This window comes from Homo sapiens, chromosome 17 (genome assembly GCF_000001405.40).
Source record: "Homo sapiens chromosome 17, GRCh38.p14 Primary Assembly".
Classification (NCBI taxonomy): Eukaryota; Metazoa; Chordata; class Mammalia; order Primates; family Hominidae; genus Homo; species Homo sapiens.
The window spans coordinates 64,355,663-64,370,659 of NC_000017.11; the positions used below are offsets into that span (position 1 = coordinate 64,355,663).

A 14,997-nucleotide genomic window follows, 5' to 3' on the forward strand; every position below is an offset into this window, starting at 1 on the left:
TTGCCCAGGCTGGTCTCCAACTCCAGGGCTCAAGTGGAGTAGACTCCTTTTTGGCATGTGTTTTCAGCCCTCTTCCTCTCCAGGAAACCGCCCCCACCCACATAAGTGGGTTCCCCAATCATGTCTGTTCTGCGTGACCCAATCCCCTTGGCTACAGGTGGTCTGTGGTTGGATGTTTGACCCAAGATGACTCAATGGTGAGTCTGCCAACAATTTGTAATTGGAACGATGTGACATTCTCCCAATTCCTTATAATAATCGATTTCTCTTTTTTACTTAATTTGAGTGGGTTTCTGTCACTTGCAACCAAGAGCCTGGAGGACATTACTCTCCTAGCCTTCAGTCACATAAGCTAGACTCCCCCCCAACTCCCTCTTACAAGGGGTGTGTTTTCTGGTCTTGCCCTTGGGAGCCCACAGCACAGCTTGCTATGGAGACCCTGACTCACCTCTGACTGTCAGTATTTTGCTTCTGGGGACACTGGAGGCGTGGTTGGCTCTGTTGAAGGCTGTGCAGTAATACTCTCCCTCCTGTTCCTTGCTAGCCTTCTGCTTGGTCCAAAATGCCTGGGTGGCATTTGAGGTCATTTGATAGAAGGGTTTGCCCTCTTTTTCTCTGTAAAACTTATAGGTGATGGGACCAGATCCTTCATTCACAGCACATTGCAGCACAATGTCCTCTCCAGACTCCACCACCTTACTTGACAGGATAGAAATCTGGACCTCATCCACCGGGGCTGAAAAGCAGGAAAAGGATTCACACTGAGCAAAGAAGGGCAGAGGAAGAGGAACATGAGACAGCCACTGCTCAACTTTTTTTTTTTTCCTCTGAGACAGAGTCCCGCTCTTATCACCCAGGCTGGAGTGCAGTGGTATAATCTCAGCTTACTGCAACGTGTGCCTCCTGGGTTCAAGCAAATCTTCCTGCCTCAGCCTCCCGAGTAGCTGGAATGACAGGTGCGCCCACCAGGCCCAGCTAACTTTTTGGATTTTTTTGTTGTTGTTGTTGTTTTAGAGACGGGGTTTTGCCCTGTTGGCCAGGCTGGTCTTGAATTCCTGACCTCAGGTGATTTGCCCACCTCGGCCTTCCAAAATGCTGGGATTACAGGCATAAGCCACCATGCCAGGCCACAGACAATCTTGACCCACTGCCTTCTCTAGCTATCGGCCATTTTTTCTCCTTTTTCCTTTATGCTTTGACTCCCTTATTTCACACTTTCTTGTTACCCCTGAAATCTGACTGCACTCTTTTGTAGTCACAATCTTGTGACACTGCACTCTCTCTCAAGTTTTGAAGAAACTGGGAAGGTCACTTGATTCCCCAACCAACGTCCCTGAGTCCCCTGCTGATTAAATTCAGTGGTGGATGCTCTTCCTCCACGCTCCCAATCTTGGGCTCTCCATACTTCACTGTTGCCCAGGTCTTACTGTGGAACTCAGCTTTTTCTGGGCTTCTGGGCTTCCTCATGACTCTGATTCTCTTCCCTTCTTACCTGGCACCCCTTTCTTATTCACTGGTTATTCTTTGTTTTCCCCGGAAGTATGAACATTTTGCAAAATTCAATCCTCAGTTTTCCATCCCCATTCTCCTCCTGGGTGATTTCACCTACACGCTGAGCTTCTGTCTCTGAGCCACTGACACCTAAACCTATGGCTCCAGTCCAGGTTACTTTCCTGAACTCCAAGTCTCCCTTTTCACCTGGGCATTTCCACCTGGAAGCCCAGCCAGCCTCACTCCCTGCAGGTCCAAGCAGAACTTGGCTACCTCCTGTATCCGCTTTTCCTAGCTCCATCCTCAACTACCAAAATTCGGATCCTAAATTGTCTTCCCAAGTAGACTTTCCTTCTAGTGTGAGAGCAGATGGTCAGCAGATGGTATTGTAACTTATGAGTCACTCTCCTGTGAGTGCAGGCTGTGGTAAGACAATGGAAGAAGCCAAGCTCCGGGCCTGGGACACCAGTGGGCTCAAATCCCAGTCCCACCACCCACCAGCTGTCTGCCCTAAGCCTCAGTTACGTCATGATAAAATAACGACAATGCTGTTACTGGCCTTCTGTGGTTATTGTGAGTTTCCATTGGAGCAATTTACTACAGTACTTCACACAGGGCTGGACACATGGTCAGTAAATGTGAGCTACTGATATCGACCCAGTTTAAACCAACAGCTTCACATGGGCTTCACATTAGCCTCTAACGTACCATGAGGTCTGAAGTCACCATGCCTGCTCCCTGACCCAGCCACCAGGTGGATCGTTCCGAGAACTCATTTGCATCCTGTCCTTCCTTCCATCTTCTGGCTTTTCACTGCATGCAGGACAATTGCCTACTCCTGATACTGGCACCTGACACCTGTCACGCTTAGGCTCAGCCACTTTTTCAGCTCATATCCGGTGATTCTCCATTCCCAAACTCCAGCCTTTGTTTCCAGCCATCTGATTTGGCCACAGTCTTTTTTTTTTTTTTTTTTTTTTTTTGAGATAGAGTCTCACTCTGTCACCCAGGCTGGAGTGCAGTGGCACGATCTTGGCTCACTGCAACCTCTGCCTCCTGGATTCAAGTGATTCTCCCACCTCAGCCACCTGAGTAGCTGGGGCTACAGGCACCCACCACCACGCTGGGCTAATTTTTGTATTTTTAGTAGAGACGGGGTTTTGCCATGTTGGCCAAGCTAGTCTCAAACTCCTGGGCTCAAGTGATCCACCCCATTCGGTCTCCCAAAGTGCTGGGATTATAGGCGTGAGCCACCGCACCTGGCTGCGCACAGTCTTTTGAAGTGCCCCATGGGACCTTTTGGCTCATGTGTTTGCTGGAGATGTTCAGCCATCTTCAGCCTTCTCTGCCCACCCATTCTCAAGCCCTGGCACCTAGCCCAGCTTTTTCACAATGTTTACCCACTTAAGCTAGATGAAGTCTGACATACCCTAAATTACTATCACCATCACTGTAAGGATATAGTTCACGTGACAACCAAACATGACCCCTAACATTTTTTCTATGCTTATTGGTATTATGATTCAGATGTTTCTCCATCATTTAATTAGGAGAGCTTGTGTTTCTTACCACAGCATTGAAACAAAGAATATGTCTTCTTTTTTGTATGCCTCACACCATTAGGTGCTTAGTCTATGTTAATGTTAATTTTTTTTTTTTTTGAGATGGAGTCTTGCTCCGTTGCCCAGGCTGGAGTGTAGCGGAATGATATTGGCTCACTGCAGCCTCTGCCTCCCAGGTTCAAATGATTCTTGTGCCTCAGCCTCCCGAGTAGCTGGCATTAAAGGTGCCCACCACCACACCCAGCTAATTTTTTGTATTTTTATTAGAGACAGGATTTCACCATGTTGGCCAGGCTGGTCTCGAATTCCTGACCTCAGGTGATCCGCCCACCTCAGCTTCCCAAAGCGCTAGGATTACAGGTGTGAGCTACCTCAACCAGCCTATGTTAATGTTAATTGAAAAGGTATGGCTACTATTAGACTATACATGAATAGAAGCAGGAATCCCTCTCTCCTATTCACATCCACCAGCAGCCCATGTAGATAGGCAGTTACTAAACAAGAAGGACAAAGAGGAGGAAGCCTTATTAAACTTTTTACAACAGGATGCAAAATATCTAAGACATGCAAGCAATGGCACTCCTGAGGCCTTCTGAGAGGCATGAGATAGAGGCTTAAGGGAAACTGTCCACCCCCAAGACAATGGTATATTTCTCTTGAGTATGATGAGAATCCCAGGCAAATGTTAGTAACTGCCATGAGACCACAGCCTGTAGCTCTCACTGCTGCAGAATTCACACAAGGCAGGGTTGCCCGGCTAGGAGTCACAACAGCAGAGTCCTGATCTACAATTCTCAGAACAGTGTATCTGAAAAGGAGAAAGTGCTAAGGGAGCCCATATGCACAACTTCAGTGCTTCCTGCAGTCAGGACACTTTCATGCTTATCATATTTTAGCAGTTTGTTGAAAGGTTCTGGAAAGAGATTACATTGTCCTCATCAATAGCCCCCAAATATTTTCCAGCCTCCTTTACTGAACCTTGGCCCTGCTTTGGTGCATATCTAGTATATGGACTTTGCATAAGCACCCACTACTTCTCTCGCTTTTTTTTTTTTTAGATGGAGTTTCGCTCTTGTTGCTCAGGCTGGAGTGCAATGGCGCAACTTGGCTCAGTGCAACCTCTGCTTCCTGGGTTCAAGCAATTCTCCTGCCTCAGCCTCCCGAGTGGCTGGGATTATAGGCGCACGCCACCATGCCCAGCTAATTTTTGTATTTTTAGTAGAGATGGGGTTTCACCATGTTGGCCAGGCTGGTCTTGAACTCCTGGCCTCAATGATTCACCGGCCTTGGCCTCCTAAAGTGCTGGGATTACAGGCATGAGCCACCGCACCTGGCCCCCTACTTCTCTTATTGTTCCCACAGTCCCTGGGCGTGAAAGAATGCCCCAAGCCCACATGATTTCTTCTCACAGCACAGCAACTTACCTATCACCTTCACCCTCAGAACCTCACTTAACATTTTGGCATGGGAATGGCAATTATCTGCAACACACTGGTATTCGACGTCTTCAGTGGGGTTGTCTTTGAATACCGCAGGATCATTTGAGTTCTTGGTACTATTCTCCAAAACTTTACTTGTTTTTAAAAGTTGGTAAGAAATAGGCAAAGTTCCACTGATCGATTCGCAACGGACTTCGATGGTCTGTCCTTTTATGACCTCAAACTGGGCATCATAAGAAATCCTGGGCTGGGAGAGCATTTCTAGAACAGAGGGAGAAACAATCCAAAAGGCACTGAAGGTAAAAGCAAAGCATCCAGCACAAGAGGTTCCTCCTCCAAAGCCTGAGCTTTGCTTTCTATCCCTGCTGTAATTTCAAATGCCTGCCTGCCTTATTTACCTTTATAGGACACCTATGAGACTGACAGGCTGTGTGTGTGTGTGTGTGTGTGTGTGTGTGTGTGTGGTGAGAAGGGAAAGGGAAAGAGAAGTACAATAAGCAAAACAGAGAATGACAGAAATTCAAGGAAAACATTACATCCCCAGAAATACATGTTCATATTTTACCATATCTCACACGCACATGCACACATAATATACTTTTCTTGTGTTGAGCAAAGACACAGAAAACATAGAAAAAGTACAACAAGTAGCCAACAAAATGTGTGTGTGTGTGTGTGTGTGTGTGTGTGTATTTGAGACAGGGTCTCACTCTATTACCCAGGCTGGAGTGCACTGGTGCGATGACAGCTCACTACAACCTCCCAGAATCAAGCAATCCTCCTACCTCAGCCTCCCGAGTAGCTGGGACTATAGGTGCACACCACACCTGGCTAATTCTTTATTTTTTGTAGAGACAGGGTCTCACTATGTGCTCAGGCTGGTCTTGAACTCCTGGACTCAAGTGATCCTCCCACATCAGCTGCCCAAAGTGCTGGGATTATAAGTATGAGCCACCACACCTGGCTGAGCATATATGTGTGTGTGTGTGTGTGTGTGTGTGTGTGTTCTGAGACCGAGTCTTGCTCTGTCACCCAGGCTGGAGTGCAATGGCGCAATCTCAGCTGACCACAACCTCCACCTCCTGGGTCCAAGGGATTCTCCTGCCTCAGCCTCCCGAGTAGCTGGGATTACAGGCATGTGCCACCACACCCGGCTAACTTTTGTATTTTTAGTAGAGAGGGGGTTTCACCATGTTGGCCAGGCTGGCCTCAAACTCCTGACCTCAGGTGATCCACCCACCTTGGCCTGCCAAATTGTTGGGATTACAGGTGTGAGCCACCAGGTCCAGCCAATATATATGTTTTTAAATTATTCTCAGCCAGTCACGGTGGCTCATGCCTGTAATCCCAGCACTTTGGGAGGCCGAGGTGGGCAGATCACCTGAGGTCAGGACTTTAAGACCAGCCTGACCAATGTAGAGAAACCCCGTCTCTACTGAAAATACAAAATTAGCTGGGCAAGGTGGCACATGCCTGTAATCCTAGCTACTCGGGAGGCTGAGGCAGGAGAATCGCTTGAACCCGGGAGGCAGAGGTTGCAGTGAGCCGAGATCATGTCATTGCACTCCAGCCTGGGTAACAAGAGCAAAACTCCATCTCAAAAAAAAAAAAAAAAAAAAAAGATAAAAAAAGTCTTCTTAGTGCTTCAGCCTCTTAACAGATAAGAATTATATTAGGTCATTATTTAGGCATTAGTTTATTTAAACCTTATACAATGAGATTTCCTCCTCCCAAGAACAAAAAATAAAATAAAACGTTATAACACACATTTGTCTCTTGCATTCCTGCCTTTTGAGTTAGGTGGTTAGAGCATTAAAAATAGGCTAAAATCCTGGTTCAGTTGAAGCTATAATAAAATCTTAGCTGGATAAAACACAGCCACAGGTTAAATGAAAGGATCGTGACTGAATAATATAGTGACAGTGACAACTTGACTGGAGTTCTATAATCAACCAGAATCTCGCCACCCAAAGTGTGGTCCAGAGACCAACAGCATCCACATCACCAAAATGCTAGTTAGAGATGCAGAACCTGGCCCCATCTGGGCCTAAAATACTGAATCATAACCTGTATTTTAACCAGGTCTTGCATGCACATTCAGGCCTGAGAAGCCCAGCTCCTGGTGGTCAAATACCTACATTCTGTCCACTGGAAGTCTTACCCTTTTGGGTTAGCCAGGATACAGATTTAAAAAATGGAATTTTGATATTCTTGGCCGGGTGTGGTGGCTCAGGCCTGTAATCCCAGGACTTTGGGAGGCTGAGGCAGGCAGATCACGAGGTCAGGAGATGGAGACCATCCTGGCTAACACGGTGAAACCCCATCTCTACTAAAAATACAAAAAAATATTATCCGGGCGTGGTTGCGGGTGCCTGTAGTCCCAGCTACTTGGGAGGCTGAGGCAGGAGAATGGCGTGAACCCAGGAGGCGGAGCTTGCAGTGAGCCCAGATTGTGCCACTGCACTCCAGCCTGGGTGACAGAGCGAGACTGCATCTCAAAAAAATAAATAAATAAATAAATAAAAGTAATAAAAATAAAAATACAAAAATTAGGCAGACATGGTGGTGGGCACCTGTAATCCCAGCTACTTGGGAGGCTGAGGCAGGAGATCACTTGAACCTAGGAGGCAGAGGTTGCAGTGAGCTATCGTGCCACTGCACTCTAGCCTGGGCGACACGTCTCAAAAAAAAAAAAAAGAAAAGTTTAACATTGACTAAGTAGTGTTTCCTTCCTGAACTTTTGGGTGGGTACTTGCTCCAGGAGGCAGAATCTTGCCAGAATCTTAGCAAGTCAGAGGCCACATCATCATCAGTGAATCAGTGTTCTGAGCAGGAATACCTCCTTGTTTCTTTGGCCTTTGATTTCGCACTTCTCTCCCTCTAGTTCTTACCCTGCCTGAGTCTGCTCAGACCGGAGAGGGCGGCAGCTGCAGATAAATTTCCTTTCTCCCATTCAACCCTGGATGTCCTCTGAGTCAGCAACAATATACTCACCACATACGACTATCTGGACTGTGTTGCTTTTCTTGACCACTTTGTCAATACCTGCAGTGCAGATATACGTCCCACTGTCCGACTTTGAGGCTATCTTGGTGAAATCTTGAGTCTGTGACACAATCGTATCTTCCTTCTGGATGGTGAAGTTGGCTGGAGGTGCTCCTGGGATGGAGCAGGACAGGTTCAGTCTTTCACCTTGGTCCAGATGTGTGAAGGAAGATTCCAGTTCGGGCTTGGAAAATAGTTCTGAAAAACAGTGAGTGGGAATGGAGCGAGATGTGTCTGGCCACCACCCTAAAGACCCTTCCTGGAGAGGCCCTTGGCTCAGGTGCTCTTGGCAGAACCAACTTCCAACTTCCAGCAAAAAGTTTTCCTTTGCTTCTCATGTACCTAACGATCACCCCAGTAAGGAGCTAGGGTTCATTCTTTGCCTAGGATTCCAATGGCAGGTTTTCCTTTCTTGTTAATCCAATTTATTTCAATGACAAGGATTAGAAAAGTTTTGCAACTTGTGGCCAGGTGTGGTGGCTCATGCCTGTAATCCCAGCACTTTGGGAGGCAGAGGTGGGTGGATCACCTGAGGTCAGGAGTTGAGACCAGCCTGGGCAACATGGTGAAACCCCATCTCTACTAAAAATATAAAATTAGCCAGCATGGTGGTGGGCGCCTGTAATCCCAGATACTTGGGAGGCTGAGGCAAGAGAATCCCTTGAACCCAGGAGACAGAGATTGCAGTGAGCCGAGATTGCTCCACTGCACTCCAGCCTGGGCAACAAGAATGAAACTCCTTAAGCTAGCAGAAGGCAAGAAATAACTAAAATCAGAGCAGAACTGAAGGAAATAGAGACACAAAAAACCCTTCAAAAAATTAATGAATCCAGGAGCTGGTTTTTTGAAAGGATCAACAAAATTGATAGACCGCTAGCAAGCCTAATAAAGAAAAAAAGAGAGAAGAATCAAATACACGCAATAAAAAATGATAAAGGGGATATCATCACCGATCCCACAGAAATACAAACTACCATCAGAGAATACTACAAACACCTCTAAGCAAATAAACTAGAAAATCTAGGAGAAATGGATAAATTCCTCAACACACACACTCTCCCAAGACTAAACCAGGAAGAAGTTGAATCTCTGAATAGACCAATAACGGGATCTGAAATTGTGGCAATAATCAATAGCTTACCAACCAAAAAGAGTCCAGGACCAGATGGATTCACAGCCGAATTCTACCAGAGGTACAAGGAGGAACTGGTACCATTCCTTCTGAAACTATTCCAGTCAATAGAAAAAGAGGGAATCCTCCCTCAGGATGATGAGGCCAGCATCATCCTGATACCAAAGCCGGGCAGAGATACAACCAAAAAAGAGAATTTTAGACCAATATCCTTGATGAACATTGATGCAAAAATCCTCAATAAAATACTGGCAAACCAAATCCAGCAGCACATCAAAAAGCTTATCCACCATGATCAAGTGGGCTTCATCCCTGGGATGCAAGGCTGGTTCAATATACACAAATCAATAAATGTAATCCAGCATATAAACAGAACCAAAGACAAAAACCACATGATTATCTCAATAGACGCAGAAAAGGCCTTTGACAAAATTCAACAACCCTTCATGATAAAAACTCTCAATAAATTAGGTATTGATGGGACGTATCTCAAAATAATAAGAGCTATCTATGACAAACCCACAGCCAATATCATACTGAATGGGCAAAAACTGGAAGCATTCCCTTTGAAAACTGGCACAAGACAGGGATGCCTTCTCTCACCACTCCTATTCAACATAGTGTTGGAAGTTCTGGCCAGGGCAATTAGGCAGGAGAAGGAAATAAAGGGTATTCAATTAGGAAAAGAGGAAGTCAAATTGTCCCTGTTTGCAGATGACATGATTGGATATCTAGAAAACCCCATTGTCTCAGCCCAAAATCTCCTTAAGCTGATAAGCAACTTCAGCAAAGTCTCAGGATACAAAATCAATGTACAAAAATCACAAGCATTCTTATACACCAATAACAGACAAACAGAGAGCCAAATCATGAGTGAACTCCCATTCACAATTGCTTCAAAGAGAATAAAACACCTAGGAATCCAACTTACAAGGGACATGAAGGACCTCTTCAAGGAAAACTACAAACCACTGCTCAATGAAATAAAAGAGGATACAAACAAATGGAAGAACATTCCATGGTCATGGGTAGGAAGAATCAATATCGTGAAAATGGCCATACTGCCCAAGGTAATTTATAGATTCAATGCCATCCCCATCAAGCTACCAATGACTTTCTTCACAGAATTGGAAAAAACTACTTTAAAGTTCATATGGAACCAAAAAAGAGCCCGCATCACCAAGTCAATCCTAAGCCAAAAGAACAAAGCTGGAGACATCACGCAACCTGACTTCAAACTATACTACAAGGCTACAGTAACCAAAACAGCATGGTACTGGTACCAAAACAGAGATATAGATCAATGGAACGGAACAGAGCCCTCAGGAATAACGCCGCATATCAACAACTATCTGATCTTTGACAAACCTGAGAAAAACAAGCAATGGGGAAAGGATTCCCTATTTAATAAATGGTGCTGGGAAAACTGGCTAGCCACATGTAGAAAGCTGAAACTGGATCCCTTCCTTACACCTTATACAAAAATTAATTCAAGATGGATTAAAGACTTAAACATTAGACCTAAAACCATAAAAACCCTAGAAGAAAACCTAGGCATTACCATTCAGGACATAGGCATGGGCAAGGACTTCATGTCTAAAACACCAAAAGCAATGGCAACAAAAGCCAAAATTGACAAATGGGCTCTAATTAAACTAAAGAGTTTCTGCACAGCAAAAGAAACTACCATCAGAGTGAACAGGCAACCTACAAAATGGGAGAAAATTTTTGCAACCTACTCATCTGACAAAGGGCTAATATCCAGAATCTACAATGAACTCAAACAAATTTACAAGAAAAAAACAAACAACCCCATCAAAAAGTGGGCGAAGGACATGAACAGACACTTCTCAAAAGAAGACATTTATACAGCCAAAAAACACATGAAAAAATGCTCACCATCACTGGCCATCAGAGAAATGCAAATCAAAACCGCTATGAGATACCATCTCACACCAGTTAGAATGGCGATCATTAAAAAGTCAGGAAACAACAGGTGCTGGAGAGGATGTGGAGAAACAGGAACACTTTTACACTGTTGGTGGGACTGTAAACTAGTTCAACCATTGTGGAAGTCAGTGTGGCGATTCCTCAGGGATCTAGAACTAGAAATACCATTTGACCCAGCCATCCCATTACTGGGTATATACCCAAAGGACTATAAATCATGCTGCTATAAAGACACATGCACACGTATGTTTATTGTGGCACTATTCACAATAGCAAAGACTTGGAACCAATCCAAATGTCCAACAATGATAGACCAGATTAAGAAAATGTGGCACATATACACCATGGAATACTATGCAGCCATAAAAAACGATGAGTTCATGTCCTTTGTAGGGACATGGATGAAATTGGAAATCATCATTCTCAGTAAACTATAGCAAGGACAAAAAACCAAACACCGCATCTTCTCACTCATAGGTGGGAATTGAACAATGAGAACACATGGACACAGGAAGGGGAACATCACACTCTGGGGACTGTAGTGGGGTGGGGGGAGGGGGGAGGGATAGCATTAGGAGATATACCTAATGCTAAATGACGAGTTAATGGGTGCGGTACACCAGCATGGCACATGTATACATATGTAACTAACCTGCACATTGTGCACATGTACCCTAAAACTTAAAGTATAATAATAATAAAAAAAGAGACTGAAACTCCATTTCAAAAAAAAAAAAAAAGCAACAAAAGAAAAGTTTTGCAGCTTGTAATGCAGCAAATAATGATTCATGCATTCACTCATGTATTTGTTCACTCACTCATTTCACCCCACAAGTATTTATTGCAGGTTCTCTCTGTGGCGGGCCCCTTGCTAGGCACTGAGAGATAGCAGTGAATAAGAAACAGTCTCTGACTTCAAAGTGCTTACATTTAGTGGTTGATTCAGATGCATTATTTGTCACAGACCCCATAGGAAAAACACTGAACTGGCAGGGCGTGGTGGCTCACACCTGTAATCCCAGCATTTTGGGAGGCCGAGGTGGACGGATCACAATGTCAGGAGTTCAAGACAAGCCCGGCCAACATGGCGAAACCCCGTCTCTACTAAAAATACAAAAATTATCTAGGTGTGGTGGTGCATGCCTATAATCCCAGCTACTCGGGAGGCTGAGGCAGGAGAATCGCTTGAACCCGGGAGGCGGAGGTTGCAGTGAGCTGAGATAGTGCCACTTCACTGCAGCCTGGGCAACAAGAGCAAAACTCCATCTCAAAAAAAAAAAAAAAAAGAAAAGAAAAAAGACACTGAACCTAGCCTTGGGAATCATGGAAAGGCCTGTTGGAGAAAGTTATCCAGGGAAAGTATCTGAGACAGAATGTCTCAGTCCATCTGGGCTTCTACCACAAAATGCTGTAGACTGGTCTAGTTATGTCTATGAATTCTTCATAGGTAAAACCGGGTCTTAGGTAGCTCTTTATCCCCAGTAAGTTGCCCAGCATACAGAAAATGCTCAATATGTGTTGAACTGGTACTTTTCTTTAATGAGATAATATAAATTGTATCAGTAAAAAAATACCATGAGCCATCAAAATATAAGTCATGATCAATACTTAACTAAATTGCTAGCACACACTATAGACCAGCAGGACCCAATGTATATGCCAATATACCAGTTGGGTAGTTGGTAGCCTACCTATGGTGCTGGAGACTGTTGCTGACACTGCACACTCAATGCTTGACACATAGGAGGCTTTTAGTAAATAACTGAACAAATGAATGAATGAACGTTATGAATGCAGACACATGAGAACCCCTTCACCGTGCAACCAAGAAGTGCTGACTGTCTCTGTCCCCTGAAACATTGTCATCTAACACTCATTCCTTCATCCAACAAATATGTATTGAATTCCTCCTGTGTGCCGGGCACTGTTCTAGGTGTTAAGGATATAGCACTGAACAAAATAATGTTCCTGTTCTCAGCGGCTTGCATTCTAGTGGCTGCATACACATAATAAACAAGAAAGGTAGAGTATATTTTTGGTGCTAAGTACTTTAGAGGGAAATAAAGCCAGGTAAGGAGGGTTAGGAGTCTGAGGGAACTTTCAAGTTCATGGATTTGAAAGCCAAACAGGCCTGAGGGTGACTCTTGTTCTACCCCCTTGGTAACCCTGTAATCCTTCGTTGAGTTACTAACCTCACAGTCTCAGTTTCCACATCCATAAAGTGGACATTCTTATGCCTATCTCCTTGAATTGTTATGAGCATGAAATGAAAATATATATAAACCTGGGCCAGCCCAGTGGCTCATGCCTATAATCCCAGCACTTTAGGAGGCCGAGGCAGGCAGATCACTTGAGGTTAGGAGTTTGAGACCAGCCTGGACAGCATGGTGAAACCCCATCTCTACTAAAAATACAAAAAGTTAGCAGGGCATGGTGGCGCATGCACCTGTAATCCCAGCTACTCGGGAGGCTGAGGCAGGAGAATTACTTGAACCTGGGAGGCAGAGGTTGTAGTGGGCCGAGATCGTGCCACTGCACTCCAGCCTGGGCAACAGAGTGAGACTTTGTCTCAAAAAAGAAAAAAAAAAAAAGAAAAGAAAATGTATATAAACCCATCATGCAATGTTCAACAAAGGGTAATTGTCATTTCTTTTTTTTTTTTTTTTTTTTTTTGAGACAGAGTCTCACTCTGTGGCCCAGGCTGGAGTGCAGTGGCGCAATCTCAGCTCACCGCAGCCTCTGCCTCCCGGGTTCAAGAGATTCTTGTGCCTCAGCCTCCCGAGTAGGTGAGATTACAGGCATGCTGCCATGCCCAGCTAATTTTCGTATTTTTAGTAGAGATGGGGTTTTATCATATTGGCCAGGCTGGTCTCGAACTCCCGGCCTCAAGTGATCTGCCCACCTTGGCCTCCCAAGTCCTGGGATTACAGACGTGAGCCACCATGCCCAGCCATGTTATCATTATTTTTGAGTTTACTAATGCTTTCTCATTTGTGGCCCTGTCATAGGACCCACGTCTGGGATCTAGCATAGTGCTTGTCACAGGGGATGGAGAAATATAACAGAGTAATGAAAACATTAACCAGTGTTCAGAGTCTTACTCTGTACAAATCTCTCAGCTCATGCTTACAGTATAGTTATCTCATTAATCATTATAGCAGTCCTAAAAGGTCATTATCACCATCTCACAGCGCTGCGGCACGTTCAATAACTCACCCAAGGTCACAGAAGCAGTGAGCGGCAGGGTTGAGCTTTGGTGCCGGAGCCTGTACCCTCAACACGCACAGTAGACTGTTAACTCGCTCTGCAGTGGTTTCTTCCCACGAGCACCAAAGCCCCATCTGAGCACATTCATTCAGATAAGCAGGGGCAGGAAATGTATCAGCTCTCTTTGGCCATGCTGGATTGCAGCATGGTGGCCTCTTGAGCCCGCCATATGCCAACACCCTCCCGCAGCAGCAGCCCTACCTGTTATGTTGACCACGATGCTGCTGACCTTGGATATGCGGCTGGACTCCACTTTGCACGTGTAGTTGCCACTGTGCTCCACCATGGCCATGACTGAGTACACAGCCTTGTTGCCATGTCTGTTGTGGGCCACAATCGCCTTGTCCTTCTGAATTATGATTTCTGGAAACTCCTGGGCCAGGTGAGTCACTTGAATGGTGCACTTAATGTGGAGCTGAGCTCCTTCCATGATCATTCCGGTGGGGCTGATGTGGAACTTGGGTGTAGAGAAGGATTCTGCAAGAGAGGAAGACAACCTGGTTGGACTCAGGTGCAAACCTGGGCAAGAGGAGCCTCTTCTGCTCTTTTTGCTGCTTCCCCTTTTCAAACTTCTATTGTTCCTAACTAACTTTAAAAATTCAACCTTTCTTCTCTAGAACTTTTGCCTTGGCTGCTCTCATACTCCCTCCCTTCTCGCTCACTCTTGCATCTTCAGGCTTCTTCACTGCAATTCTCTGGGTTTCTGAAGCTTCCCAAAGGCCAAACACCTTCTCTAGATCTCGCCTTCAGAGGACTTCAGAAATAACCACAGTATTTAGAAATGATCTTCCTCCTGCCCACTACGAGTTTTCTAGGCTATTCTCAGCACTTCATGGAAGCTTGGCATTTCAGCATGAAGATACTATAGCTTTCAAAAGTTCAGCTCTGTGAAACGTGCTGCTTCATGGAAATGAATATTTAAATAATCGCATGCCTCCAAAAAAGTGGCTTCTAGTCTTTTCTATTTCATTTTTTAAAATGCTGGCCATCACTCACTAAACTGATTTCATGACTCATGCAGTTTGAAAAACAATTTTGCCTGAGTGTGGGGCCTTACACCTGTAATCCTAACACTTAGGAAGCCCAGGAGTTCTAGAACAGCCTCTGGGCA

The 14,997-nt window shown here is 45.0% G+C and overlaps 1 protein-coding gene across 8 annotated transcripts in view; it reads right to left on the reverse strand.

Moving 5' to 3' along the window:
• PECAM1 (platelet and endothelial cell adhesion molecule 1) overlaps positions 1–14,997 on the reverse strand; it is a 71,446-nt gene that overhangs the window by 36,248 nt on the left and 20,201 nt on the right. For all 8 annotated transcript variants that reach the window (XM_017024741.2, XM_047436251.1, XM_017024739.2 and 5 more), the window contains exons 5-8: positions 14,088–14,363; positions 7,487–7,735; positions 4,478–4,753; positions 449–736 (exon numbers count right to left, since the gene is read on the reverse strand). In XM_017024741.2, the coding sequence (XP_016880230.1) occupies positions 449–736; positions 4,478–4,753; positions 7,487–7,735; positions 14,088–14,363 (1,089 nt within the window). The remainder of the gene's footprint in view (positions 1–448; positions 737–4,477; positions 4,754–7,486; positions 7,736–14,087; positions 14,364–14,997) is intronic.